A 14274-nucleotide genomic window follows, 5' to 3' on the forward strand; every position below is an offset into this window, starting at 1 on the left:
TTTGTGACCAGTTAACTTTAATTTTCAAAATAAATCTGCAGTATTTTGCATGTTAGTAATACAGTGCTGGTATTGACAGGTAAAATCATCATCTGCTTACATAGAAACCTTCATTCAGGAGCACACCGTAGGAGGGGAACGGATACACAATAAAAAGCAAACGCAGGCCAAGCAGCGAGCCCTAGAGCGTAACAGGCTGGATGTCAGATTTAAGGATTATCTAATACAACTGTTTAGCTGCCAATCTGATAAAGGGGAAGCTCTCAACCAGGTTACAACCAGAAGGGAAAAACGTACTCTGCCTTTTCGTAGAGCAGTGGCTGTCGTGCCTTCAACACCTGGTTGAATCAGTTCATCAACATCGAAACTCAATTCCAGTTCCAAGACACAGAATTTCATCACACAACCTATTCGGTACCCCTTTTCAGTGGCCCACCCAAAACCCCCTCCTGCCATCGACTCTCTCCCTCCCAAAAGAAGACATGACGTGGCTTTATTATTGCAGACAAGCTTCTTAAGTGAATAAAGAATGCATACAAAATAGTATTTTAACTGAAGTCATACAATGAAGTCTCACTCCTGTTTATTATACAATGAATTGATAAAACAATTACTTCTAGTATATATCTTTTTTTTTTTAGAACTAATACTTTCAGGGTTCTGACAACCACATTCTAGCTTAGGGGTAGGGCCCACACCTGCCCCCACTGAGGACTGCTCCTTGGACCACTGTGGAGGAAGCCTGGGCTGTCTGAATTGTGAATTATGACTGCCAGCCCACCAGAGATAACAGATCCCAGCAGGCAGAGCCAGAACCCAGTTTTGGGTCTGCATGCCAGGAAATGTGAACTTCCTCCAAATGTGGCCACTGTGCCTCCCAATCCAGGCCTCAGCAAGGTCATTCTTGGGCTTTCCCTACACGAGTCCTTCCAGTAGTCCACACATAATGCTCTACATATTAAAAACAAACCATTTTTGTACTGTGGATAAGAACAGTTGTAACAAAGTCATAGCTACATATTTTTCTCTACATTTTGTTTATTGAGACAAACTAATTAAAAGGCACAAACATAGGGCATGTTTACATGGACATTATAACAAACATATACATTAAAAGTGTAGGAATGTGTTGCCTTCCTGCTAAACAGAAAGTTCCTAAGCTTTTATATATACAAAAGTTGTACAATTTAATGTCCTAAAGTACAAAAGATCATTTATAAAATTATTTTACACTAAGTACTATTTATTTTATTTTTTTACTATGTAGTTCAACCCCCTAGAACTGTTTTGTATAATGACACACAGATACCTGTCCCTGATGTAGGAAGTCTGTCTCAGATGCAAGGTATTTTGATGCTTGAACTGACACAGTAGGGTATAAATGGAAATCATCCAGTTTGATAGTCAGTCCTGCAAACATTCTGCAAGATTAACACAACTAATTTCCATTTCTCTTAACTGCAATGATTAAAAAATGAAAAAAACCAAAAACATATTGCAACTTAAAAAATCACAGCATCTTGGTTTAGTTAATTTTTTTTTTAACGCAATGCTTTAAAAACAATGCGTGGCATGATGGTGTAAAGAGTATCTGTTTCCCTAGCTTTTGGTTTCTACTTTATGTACAGAGATAAAATATCTTGCTAAGAAATAAAAAGCACATGTCTCAACGTGCATAATCATTGCTGGGTTTCTACAGGGAATGCAGACAGCTGTCTCCCTGAAAACACCACAAAGCTGATACAAGTGTTTTCTCAAAGAAAAAAAAAGTGATGTCCATATTTACAAAGTTGAACAAATCTGCGCAATACTTAAGAAACGGAAGGAGAAATTTAAAAAAAGATACACTCTGCATGTTCTGAAGGGGCATACACTACCTAGTTAGTGGTTAGAATAAAAACTGTATACAATTTAATATAAGACATAAACTCTAGTGAGCAACTAACACATCTGTCCCTGTTGTAATATCAACAGGCTCTGATTGGGAGAGAGAGGGGCATATCACATCCCAGTGCCTCCAGCGTCTTCCAATTTAAAGCAATATATTTGTACTGTTCCAAAGTACTCCTTGGCTCCTAAATAGGAATCCCACTGGACTCTGTTTATTAGGAGCTTGCCTGTCCACACACTTGACTTCTCCTCTGTCAGTTGAGGCTTTTCTTAGCAAAACACAATTTGTAGATTTTTTTTAAATTTTTTTTTTTTTTAAAAAGTCAACTACAATGCTATATTCCATCGGGATTAATATGCTGAGCAATATTTACATCTCCAAATATCAGGTCACAATCCCTATTATACGTTGAAGTTAGAATGATAAATTATCATATGCTTTGCATATCAGAGCTGGTATCACCTTTCCCATAGGGAATGCTGCCTGAAATTAACATATTCCCAAAGGTAAAATGCATATTCTCTGAAATGCATTTTATTATGACAATGCATGTATTTACTCATAAAAACAATAAACACAGACAATTCTACACTAGCTCTCAATCTGTGGATTTAAAATTTCAGGTTAAAATCAGCCATCCACCTTGTATAGGGAGAAGAGTTCTGCTAGTGTTTACAATAAAGTGATTCCTTGGGATTAGAAATAGTAATGCTGTTTTTTTATTTTGAAGTGGGTTCTACTTATGATTGGTTTTAATTCTGGCATTTCATCTTGCCAACTACTATCCTGTTTAAGCAATGTTGTCAGCTAAAAGGAATTTCTGATTAAACTAAAGTGGTCCAGTGATAAGTTACATACACACCCTACTTTGAATAATCCCAGCCAAATTGGAGAAAAATGCTACCACACTCTTATTAACTAATGTAATAAAATCTCCCAATTTCATGGTTTACTTTTTGCTTTAATCAACTAAAAGTTAAGTTGCTGGTAAATATTTACTTTTACCCATATTTTGATTTTATAATACTGTTTACCAAGGCGGTGATGTAGGCAAAGCTTGGGGCAAGAAAGGCATGCTCTCTACAGGTCTCATTGCTATATTGAGAGGGGCGGCTAATGTCATAGGTGTGGGTAGATTCATTGGAGATGTGATGGTGACAGGGTGTGCTATATTCACTGGGGCAGTGACGGGGGTGGGGAGGTTGACTGGGGTAGTGAGTGTTAAAGGAGAGGTCATGGATAATGGACTGGTTATAGTTACAGGATGCCCTATGTTCATTGGGCTGGTTATGTTAACTGCACTTGAAACATTTACTGGACTTCTCATGCTCATTGCAGCTGCCACTGTGACTGGGTTTGACATAGTCCCAGACGACACAGAGGATGTTATACTGAATGGAGTAGTGAGAGTCACAGGTGTCGTAGCAGCCGTGGAGGTTTGGCACAGGTTAGCAGCTTCTAAAATAAGAAGAAAAAGGGTCTTTAGATTCTCAAAACAGTGAGCAAAATTCACAAAGTTTCTGAATCAATTTCTTTTCATTAAAAATGTCAAACATTTAATAAATCAAATTCCAGTTTTCTATCAAGCGGTCAACAGAACAGAGGATCTTTCTGAGCACAAGCCTGGGGGCCAGGGATCCCAGTGTATGAATCACCTTCTGATGCTATACCTCCTGCAAGGACTTAAGCAACTTGTTTAGCCTTGCACTTTAGGTTTCAAGTTCAGATTTACTTACCTACCTCACAGTGATGCTGAGAGGATCAGTTAACTTCTGCAATGCAGGGCTAAGTGTTCTCACTACTACTTCATGCAGTTCCTCTGAGTTCTAAAAACTTTCTTGGGAAGAGCCAACCTCCAGCAGGCCAGGCTAAAGAGCTTGTTTACACAGAGCTGGGCCAATGGTTACACAATAACAGATAATCAGAAAAATCTTCTCGTAAGGCACACTGTAACTAGCAGAGAGAGGTGTGCATACTCAATAAGTATGTTAAAGCCTGAGACATGAAGCCACATTCTGTGAAGGTTTTAAAAATGCATAATTGGGGAATGATAAACAAGCTATTTTAGTATCATGTTTGTTTCAGTTTTAGAAATATGTTTCAGTTAAATAATCTTATTCTTTCTGGTTATGTTTCTTAACTACATTAGGAAAGAAAAAAATACTCCTCAATAAGTTCATGTTCTCCTCACTCCCATTTCTTCTTGTTTCTGATGTTGACACAATCACCTATTTTATGCCTAGTATCTTTAACTCTACATATTACACATACCACCAAGCATACCAAAGAGAACTAGCTAGGCAAGGAGACCCTGCAGTGAGTTAGAGGACCCTGGTCCTTCTTATCCAACAAAACCTGGACACTTTTTTTTCTGAGACAGGGTCTCCTTCTGTTGCTCAGGCTGGAGTGCAGTAGCATGATCAAAGCTTACTGCAGCCTCAAACCCTCAAGGCTCAAGCAATCCTCCCACTTTAGTCTACCAAGTAGCTGGGACTACAGGTGCATGCCATCACGCCCAGCTAATTTTTGTGTTTTTTGTAGAGACTGGGTTTCGCCACGTTGCCCAGGCTGGTCTCCTCCTAGGCTCAAGCGATCCGTCCACCTCAGCCTCCCAAAGTGCTGGGATTAAGGTGTGAGCCAGGTCTAGACACTTCTTAAAAAATACTTCCCCTCAAGGTGACATCCCCAACCCACCCCTCAACAAAATTCAGCACCAGAAAACAGCAGTAAAATGATGGGTAGGCTAGCTGTGACTTGGCTATCAAAATGGAGAAATATACTTGAACTAAAGATAGAGATCTGTATATGATCCACAAAGGTCTTATCACCGCAGGGGGACCCTTGAGTCAAGCAGCCCTTACTTGATCAATACAATGTAACTTTGGCACACACCATTCTCCCTATCAGGGATTCCCAAATCTGGCTGATTATCAAAATCAACTATCTAGAGGACTTCAAAACAAACAAACAAACAAACAAAAAAAACCCAACAAAACAAAAACAAAGGACTCCAGGAGAATCAATAGTGAAATTTAGATGGAACTTGGGAAATGTGTATTTTTAAAAAGCTTCCCAGACAATATGATTGTCGATCAGGTTTGAAAACTTATGTTACCTTATTTAGGCCTAATATTTAAAGGACGTTATAGATTCAAGCTTAGATTTTCAGGTCAGGAGTCTCCTCTCCTCTAAAATGTGACATTTACTAACATGAATACAGAGGTTTCTAAGATCAGTGGTCTTTTTGAGAGAGATTCACGCTACAAATGGGAATACAATAACATTTTGTTTCATGGAAGTCAGAAGATGAGCTAAACAACCAAGTCTTATTGTGCAAGCAAATTGAAATACAATACCAAATAGAGGAGTACACCGAGAGAGATTGAGAGAGAAAACCAATTCACTTTAAGGTGCTGGGAGTATTGCTGAGGATATTCTCCACCTGCTTTCACCAAAGAATTTTTACTCTCTTATCTGCTGACCCCCTTACCTCCTCCTCCGTGTTTTCTTTTTAATCTAAGAGTGTCCTTTTACTATGACTTAAACATTTTTACTCCTTCTCTAAGTAAAATACCCTTCATAATATACTTTCAACCCACTATACAATTATCACAGCACTACACTTTTTCCTCCCCATTGCCCGTCCCCTCTCCCCATTCTAACACAAAAGTTCATTTGTTTTGTTTTTTTTGAGATGGGGGTCTCAATCTGTTGTCCAGGCTGGAGTGCAGTGATGCAATTGTAGCTCACTGCAGCCTCAAACTCCTGGGTTCAAGTGACCCTCCCACCTTAGCTTCCTGAGTAGCGGGGACTACAGACACGCACTGTCACGTCCGGCTAATTTTTTGTTGTTGTTGTTGTTTTTGTAGAGATGGGGTCTTGCCATCTTGCCCAGGCTGGTCTCAAACTCCTGGCCTCAAGTGATCCTCCCACCTTGGCCTCCTGAAGTGCTGGAATTATAGGTGTGAGCCATCACACCTGGCCAAAACATTTTATTAAAATAATGACAAATCTTCAGATGGAAGCTAGGAACAAGCAGCACCTGAGGAATGATGAAAAGCCTATACGGACTGCTGCATTCTTTTCTTCCAATGCCAGTAAATGTATGAAAAAGAATGTCGCCAGGGCCCAGTAGCTCACGCCTATAATCCCAGTACTTTGGGAGGGTGAGGCGGGCAGATCACCTGAGGTCGGGAATTCGAGACCAGCCTGACCAACATGGAGAAACCCTGTCTCTACTAAAAATACAAAATTAGCTGGGCGCGGTGGCACATGCCTGTAATCCCAGCTACTCAGGAGGCTGAGGCAGGAGAATCGCTTGAACCTGGGAGGCGGAGGTTGTGGTGAGACAAGATCATGCCATTGCACTCCAGCCTGGGCAACAAGAGCAAAACTCCATCTCAAAAAAAGAAAAAAAAAAAAAAAGAATGCTATTCCTTTTATTTTTATCCAAGTATAGGAGGTTTAGAGATCACTCTGGCCAGGTGTGGTGACTCATGCCTGTAATCCCAGAACTTTAGGAGTCTGAGGCGGGTGGATCACTTGAGATCAGGAGTTCAAGACTAGCCTGGCCAACATGGCAAAACCCTGTCTCTAGTAAAAATACAAAAATTAGTCGGGTGTGGTGGCACACACCTGTCGTCCTGGCTACCCGGGAGGCTGAGGCACAAGAATCACTTGAACCCAGGAGGCGGAGGCTGCAGTGAGCCGAGATCACGCCACTGCACTCAAGCCTGAGCAACAGAGCGAGAGACTCTGTCTAAAAAAGAAAAAAAAAAAACAGAAGGGATCACTCTGAGGAAGGGAAGAGCCACACTACATGAAAGCAAAAGATGGAAGAAACTACACAGAAAAGGAATTACATACAGAGGAGCCCACAGATAGAGGATTCCTTAACATTTAACATAGTAAGACATTGTAGAGGTGGAGGAGGAAGAAGGAATTTACAAATCTGTCCTTTGGCTCATGATACATTGACAAAATGATTCATTTGAAATGGCTGCACAATAGTCCAGAAGCCAAAGCTGTACTAGTAAGTTGAAAAGTACGTTGAAAACTGATACTCCAACTGATTCGTTAGAAAATATACACGAGAGAAAAGCAAACCATTTAAAATTTTTTAAACAATTACAGTAAAGTCCTCAGCAGCAGAAGACTAGATATGTTAAGGCCAGCCAGTGATAGACTGAAGGAGATTAAGGGTGTGACCAAGAGAAAAGACATCAACACTACAGAATCTGAAACATGTAATAAATAATACAATGAAAAAGAACACTACAGAGCAAAAATAGCACAGTTGTAAGAAAATGAACTTATGTACACACAAGGATATCCACCTCTAAAAGTGGGAATATTTTAGAAAGGAAAAAAAAAGCCCATAATGCATGGAGGTTGACATCAAATTGAATATAAAAATGCAACTCTGAGCATAGCAAAGGACCAAATTTGGATCCAGGTTTGTAGCAAAAAGTACATCAAAAGAAAGAACATGATAGGAAGTACTGAGAACTTTTAATTCCTAGTAATAACTTATCTGGACACTTTATTGCCAATAACTATACTTTACCAGATATTTCCCAGCATGCACTATTTCCATGTTTCCATTAAGCTAGATTTCCTAAAACTGTGGCTTCTCTACTTTGATCACTTGGCATACTAAATGAAAACACTTCTCTAGCCATATTTTCAACACTGGAAGCTGTGCCTTACCTTTCTTCCTTGCTTTAACAGCTTCTTCCCACAGTCTCAGTGTTTCTACTTGCTTCCCTGGCCAGCTTGTCACATGTTGTTGTTGTTGTTGTTGCTGCTGCTGCTGCTGCTGCTGCTGCTGCTGCTGCTGCTTTTGGTTACTGGTCTCTTCACTCATGCATGCTATTACAAAGACAAACCAAAAACACTGTATCTACCTGTAAAACTGTTGCCGTTTTTTTTCAAAATTGACTTCTCATGCTTCTGTGATCTTAACCATTTAACCTGATAGCTCTTAGTAAGTGCATCTTTTTTGCTGCTGTGTCTATATTGGTCAAAATAAACAAGCACTAAAAAGTCTAGAGAACTAGCAAAAATCAATATAAAAGAGAAAAGGACTCTTTGCTATAAAAAAAAAACCATCAAAAAAAAAAAAAGCAAGTGTCTTTAAAAATGGAAGTTTGATATTATTAATATAGGACTAATCAACATTCAACAAAATTTTTTATTTGATCACAATAATGTACACTAAAAGTGAATGTTTATAGGCCGGGTGCAGTGGCTCATGCCTGTAATCCTAGCACTTTGGGAGGCCGAGGCAGGTGGACTGTCTGGGCTCAGGAGTTCGAGACCAGCCTGGGCAACACGGTGAAACGCCGTCTCTATGAAAATACAAAAAAAGTAGCAAAGGTAATCGGGCATGGCAGTGTGCACCTGTAATCCCAGTTACTTGGGAGGCTGAGGCAGGAGAATCGCTTGAACCCAGGAGGCGGAGGTTGCAGTGAGCCGAGATCGTGCCATTGCACTTCAGCCTGGGCAACAGTGTGAAGACTCCGTCTCAAAAAAAAAAAAAAAAAAAAACAAAAAAAACAGAAGTGAATGCTTATAAAGTACAACATACCAGTGTACTTACAAAGAAGTGTACTTACAAACCCAGTGTACTTACAAAGAAGTAAAAATGGATAGATTAACACACATTAAGCTTTCTTCCCCATTCTCTTGTGGCCACCTATTTTTTTGAGAATTTGATGTTTCTACTGCATAAAGTACATATATAATAGAATAAAGGATTAGGAAAATGCCTTCTTCTAGTGGTTAGGGCAATCTTAAAAGAAAAAGCCTGGGTAAATGCAAGTATTCTATCTTCAACTCTGAATTTAAGGCAAGCAAAGCATTTAAACCTTCAAGTGGATATGATATCTCATTTCTCTACAGATTTGGGTTTGAAAAGCAAGCTTATTAATACTGCTTTCACCTTAAAGGTTATTATTAGCTTATCAATGCTGTTTGCATACATGAAAGTAAAGCATAGTTCTGACATTAATATACTCTGTCCATTGTTGCCTGTTTGCACATGTTGGCAATAGGAGGAAACACGTAAGGTGAATATTAATACCTTTGATACAATATGAAAACATGCATATTTCACCCATCTGAAATATAAAAGAAAGAAAATCTGAAGCACCACCTACTTTTACTGATGCCTTGTTTACATGTATTACAGTTGATACTTTGGCTCTGCCCATGAGTCTTTAAGTGGCTGGTGATGTATGCTGCACTCAGGAGCTTCCCACAGATGTTACATGATACCTTGCCTTCATGGCGCACCATGTGTGTCCGCAGTCTGTCTTTGGTGGCAAAGGCAGCAGTGCACGTCTGCATGAGGGAGGAAAACTTTTTTTAAATATAGACTATCCTGTTCTACTCATTTTGAAGTACGTTATATTCTGTGCATTACCCTATCCACATCAGCAAGCTGACAACTAGTTGAATTTTAATTGCATATGTTACCTAGAATCATAATCATAATAAAACTCTTGATAAATTTTAGACTCTTCCATTTTGAAGGAAGAAAATACATCAACACAGAGTAGCACAAAAAATGTAAGCTTTAGGGTAAGTTAAACCTGGGTTTAAGTTGAGCTCCACAATTTACTAAATGGTGTAATGTTGAACAAGTTGGTTAACCTATCTGAAAGCTTCTTCATCTGTAAAATGGGGATAACATCTCTCACAAAATTACTGGTGGATTAAGAAAAGCCTGGTATACACAGCAGGCACTCACTCAATGACACTAGCTTCCTTCCTCCAATTAGATCTTTCTTAGCATTCAAATCATTTACTTAATAAAATCAGTCATTAACAAACTTAACTGAAAGGTGTACTAAAAGACTTCCAGCAACAAACTAAAATTACCAATGCCTAAAACAGTCATTTGATTTAGCAAAATTCTTAATGTTTTCGTTATTATAATTGATGTCAAATAAAATCATTAACTGGAATAGATTTTTAAACAACTAGAAAGTGTTCCAATTTGGTAATAACAAACAAAAATCTAGTAAGTGGTAACATTTGGGAGAAAAATTCATTATTTTCTCCTATTACAGTTAAAACAACTTCAATAATCAACCCAGAAATTAAAGCCCTTTATTCTTTTATTCATTTCAAATACACAACCACCTTTGCAAGACTGTAACTTTTTTTTCCTAACAAAAAATACTATTGCCCAAAGAAAGGGAAATATAGCTTAAAAAAAACAACACGCTTAAATTTTTAAATGATCTTGCTTTACAGAAACAGAAGCTGTCAGTTATATTTTATAAAACTAGAAGTCAAATGGGCCACATTTACTCAGGTCAGTGATTTTAAGACTATTCAAGAATGGTGAGATTCAACTGGCTCAGACCTTCTGGATAATGTGCATTAAGTGCTACACTAAGGATAAGTCATTTTAACTCTTACTTGGCATTTGAAGGGTCTTTCTGTTGAATGGACATGTTTTACATGACAGCTTAAGTGGTCAGGCCTGTGAAAAAGAGAGTTTCAACAGAAGATATAATCGAACACATAGAGAAATGCTACTTATGTGATGCTCACATGCTTGGCAGATTGGGAAGGGGTGCATTTTAGGGAAAGCTAGCAGAATTACCAACCTCCCTCCCCCGGTGCAAGTCTCCTTCCCTCTCTTACCATGAACAAAGTCTTAGGCCTCTACCTGTTAATTTTCTCTCCTAGTCAACATCAAATCATATTAGGTCTTGATTCTTTACAATTACAAAATACCCGAAGTTTTAGTCTTAACACTTGCCAGAAACAGCTACCACTATATTAACTCTAAAAGCTTTTATAAATGAAAATTAGTGAAATGTTGGTGCTCTCAGAAAAATGAAAAAACATTCTAAAAGTTTAATTAAGAGTATCCAAGGTCATCCCAACTTCCAAGAAATGTTACTTTAATTTGCCCAGTGAGCCTCATGTCTAGTCCCCCAACTGAACTGAAAACTGGTGGTTTTGCAGTGATAAGTATCCATGTGCCAAATGAAAGCCTGAGTCCACCGAGGCACTTGTTAAGTGAAAAAAACAGGTTAATCACTATGTCACCACTTGTCAATCACACCAAACTGAGGTTAGACCTGGAGGTGTTAATACTTATCTATCACCAATCTCCTCTAATAACACAGGTCTGCCCACATCTGTTCTCACATAAACATTCTAGATCACATGGAGACAAAACTGAAGTACACTGATACCATAATGAAGCAAAGCAAAGCAAAGCAAAATGCAGTACCTTGAGAAGCCTTTCCCACAAACACTGCAAGTATAGGGTTTGGTGATGCCTCCTTCATGAGACCTCACATGGTAAGTCATCCGGTCCTTCCTCTTGAAGCGCTGATTACAAATAGGACACTCAAAGGGTTTCTCATCTGAATGGGAGAGCTTGTGTCGATTGAGATGGTACACATCTCGGAAGGCCTTCCCACACATCTCACAAGCATGGTTCTTCTTGACAGGCTTACTGGGTTTCTTGACAGACTGGGTCACTGGCATAGCTGTGGTGCTGGCACTGCTACTGGGGTTGGTGCCCGAGGAAGATGTAGTGACTGTTGACAAGATGCCTGCAATGGTCGAGACCAACGAAGTTCGGCTGCTGTCCCCAGCGATGGTAGAGATAAGGGGAACCACCGTGGTGGGGGTTTTCTTTGGCCGGGACACCAACTTGATCCCTGTGTGGCAGGATTCGTGGCGCCTCAGGTGATAGCTGTCCCTGAAAGCTTTACTGCAGTAAGTGCACACAAATGAAGTTTTGGGTTTTTCTTTTTTAATCCCAATGGCATCCTTTAATGTTTCTGGTGCACCCTGAGGTTTCTGAGTTATTGGTATTGGAAGCAATGGTTTCTGATCAGGGGGCTCCACGGCAGAGCTCAGGAGGGGCAGCAAGCTGTTCTGTGCTGCCTGCTGTTGGTGATGGGAAGCTTCATGGGCCTAAAACCAAACATTTACACTTCAGAAACTCAGCCTCTCACAATGGCCTTCGAAATTCAACATGCTCCAGACAATAGAGACCAGAAGAAACAGTCAAAGAACCTATAAGCTACTCTGCAGTGGTAATCCAGCAACCACCTAGTTACTCTAAGAGCTCACAATACAAAGCATTGAAAAATCACTGTGCAGACACAAAACTTTTGCAACTAAGTTGCTGACAGTGATCTTGCTTTTAAACAGCTGACTAAACTACACACTATCCTGGTTCATAAGGGACAGACCAGCTGATGAAATCAGTTTGCATTAGTCTGTCAGCGCTGAAACCAAGTTTAAATAACTTACTTAAAAAAACCACTCCAGATTTAAGTATTTAATAGTACCTTACTGCAGCAATACACACATACACACTCACATACATGCAATAACACAATCATCTATTTGTCTATTATCCAGAAGAAAAGCATCATGTCTTTCTATCAGAAAACTCAGATTGAGGAAGGGGCTGTTGCTAAGTGATGAAAGAAATCTAGTTCTCTAAATACATTTGCTAGTCGTTAACGTTAAGTTTTCACTTGACTCTACTAAAAGGTTTGGTTGAAACAAAATCTGCTATGAAGCAACCTGGAAGGCATCTGTGAAGGCAGCCCATAGCAAACACCTGTCAGTTGTTTCTCAGGTCATTTAATTGTATACTGAAGTCTGCATCTTTCAGCAACACTATCTGTTCAAATCCCAAACTCTCAAAGACAGACTAATGAGAAAAACAAACTATAAACACTTAAATTCCTTTCATATTCATCTTCTTCCAGCAGTTGTAGGTTTCAATAAAGTATTAGACATTTGCTCTTATGATGTGCTTCTCCACTCCCAAAACTGGAGGCTGCACACTGGAAATTCTTTTAGCCGCAATGAAACCAAAATTTCACCATGGATCAGGTTCTTGACATTTATGAGTAGTTACTCTCTTGGTTCTGATACTTTCAAAATTCTCCATACTGATAAACATTTAGGAAATGATGGAAAAAATTCCTGAAATAGTTCTTCCTAATACGTTGTTCTTTACCAACATTATTTTTGAAACTCTTGACAGTGAGCCCAAGCCCCTATGCTTGAGTTTTGTAATCCTAATAAGATGCATGCACTCAAGAGGAGTTTCAAATATTTTAAGCATACAATGTCCTACTAGGGGCCCATCCCATCATTTTAGACACTTTAGACGGTTACTTACCCTTCTTACTCTATAACCACAAGTCCCACAGCTAACTTAAGGACAAAAAAACAAAGAGAAACACACACACACTCACAGCTCCTCCTCTGATGGGTAAGAACATCTACCACACATTGCTTCTATGTTTACTTGATGGCAGCATAACAGTTAAGCCTGGAACTAGTCTCCCCCAAACGATTAGGAGGTGTGGTATCCAGAGTTCTCAGTTTCAATTTAATAATTTTGATGTAATCACCCTTTGAGTCCTGGAAGCATTCTCAGAAATTATGTGGTTACTTATGAGTCTCTTTCTGGACTTAACTGCTCCTAGCAAATTACAGTCCGCTTTTAATCTAATTTGTGAAGCTCCTGTAAATGTAAGGGTCTATCTACCCAGGTGACATCAGCAGAAACTTTACAGAATTTGGACTCCAGTTGTAACCCCTTTTCCAACCTGGCTGTAGGATACTCGTTTCCATACAGTATACAAATAGTTAATAGCTGAAGATAGCTGAAGATATACAATTTCAAAGGCTAACAGATCAGATAATAGGGAATGCAGATCTTCTGGACAAAGTTCAGACTTATAGCATTTAGAGGCATTTTTCAACTCTAAACAACCATTAGTACGATGGAGTACTAAAAGCACTTACTGCCATTTTACCAATTCAGATGTCTGTGGCAACATAAAGTATTTTTACAGCATTGCTGAAGCTCACTCTCACAGGAGGGTCACACCAGGTCCCTGCTTCTTGGGTGAAATGCTGCAGAACCACTACAGGAATCACTCTCTGAGGATTCCTAGGATCCCCACACTTCTACAAGAAGCCTTCTAAGGGGGAACTGGGTTTTCCCAACTTCTTCTCTGGGGGAGAGACAGAGTAAAATAACAACCACGGCCAGCCTTCAGTTAAGTGATTTATTTTAAAAATATAACTTCTGGGTAGGCTTTTATTTGACTAGCATCATCAAACCAAAGTTTTAATTTTATATCCCATCTCTTTCAACTGCAAGGCTTTTTAACCCTGCCCAAGCTTTCCTTTTCCTGGGGCTGGCAAGAAACAAAACAGAAATGTTATTTCATCACCCAGGGTAGTAGGATATGGCACCATGAAATCTCCAGTGCCAGAGGGTAAAAGATTTTGTACTGAACAAATTAACATCGGTGAGTCACATCTTGAATGTCCTGTTAGAAGAATCATCCATCAAACATTTTAATAGCTAT

General features: G+C 39.3%; 1 protein-coding gene across 7 annotated transcripts in view; it reads right to left on the reverse strand.

Moving 5' to 3' along the window:
* The window catches only part of VEZF1 (vascular endothelial zinc finger 1), a 16703-nt gene continuing 2429 nt past the window's right edge, over window positions 1-14274 (reverse strand). For 3 of the 7 annotated variants that reach the window (NM_001330393.2, XM_017025018.2, XM_047436665.1), the window contains exons 2-7: window positions 13703-13914; window positions 11148-11842; window positions 10322-10385; window positions 9052-9235; window positions 7601-7762; window positions 1-3349 (exon numbers count right to left, since the gene is read on the reverse strand). In NM_001330393.2, the coding sequence (NP_001317322.1) occupies window positions 2922-3349; window positions 7601-7762; window positions 9052-9235; window positions 10322-10385; window positions 11148-11842; window positions 13703-13708 (1539 nt within the window). In that variant the 5' untranslated portion in view covers window positions 13709-13914 and the 3' untranslated portion in view covers window positions 1-2921. Of the gene's footprint in view, window positions 3350-7600; window positions 7763-9051; window positions 9254-10321; window positions 10386-11147; window positions 11843-13702; window positions 13915-14274 lie in introns of all 7 variants that reach the window. The other 4 variants (XM_047436662.1, XM_047436664.1, NM_007146.3 and 1 more) reach the window with 3 other exon arrangements.

The sequence above is a fragment of the Homo sapiens genome, chromosome 17 (genome assembly GCF_000001405.40).
Source record: "Homo sapiens chromosome 17, GRCh38.p14 Primary Assembly".
NCBI classification, from domain to species: Eukaryota; Metazoa; Chordata; class Mammalia; order Primates; family Hominidae; genus Homo; species Homo sapiens.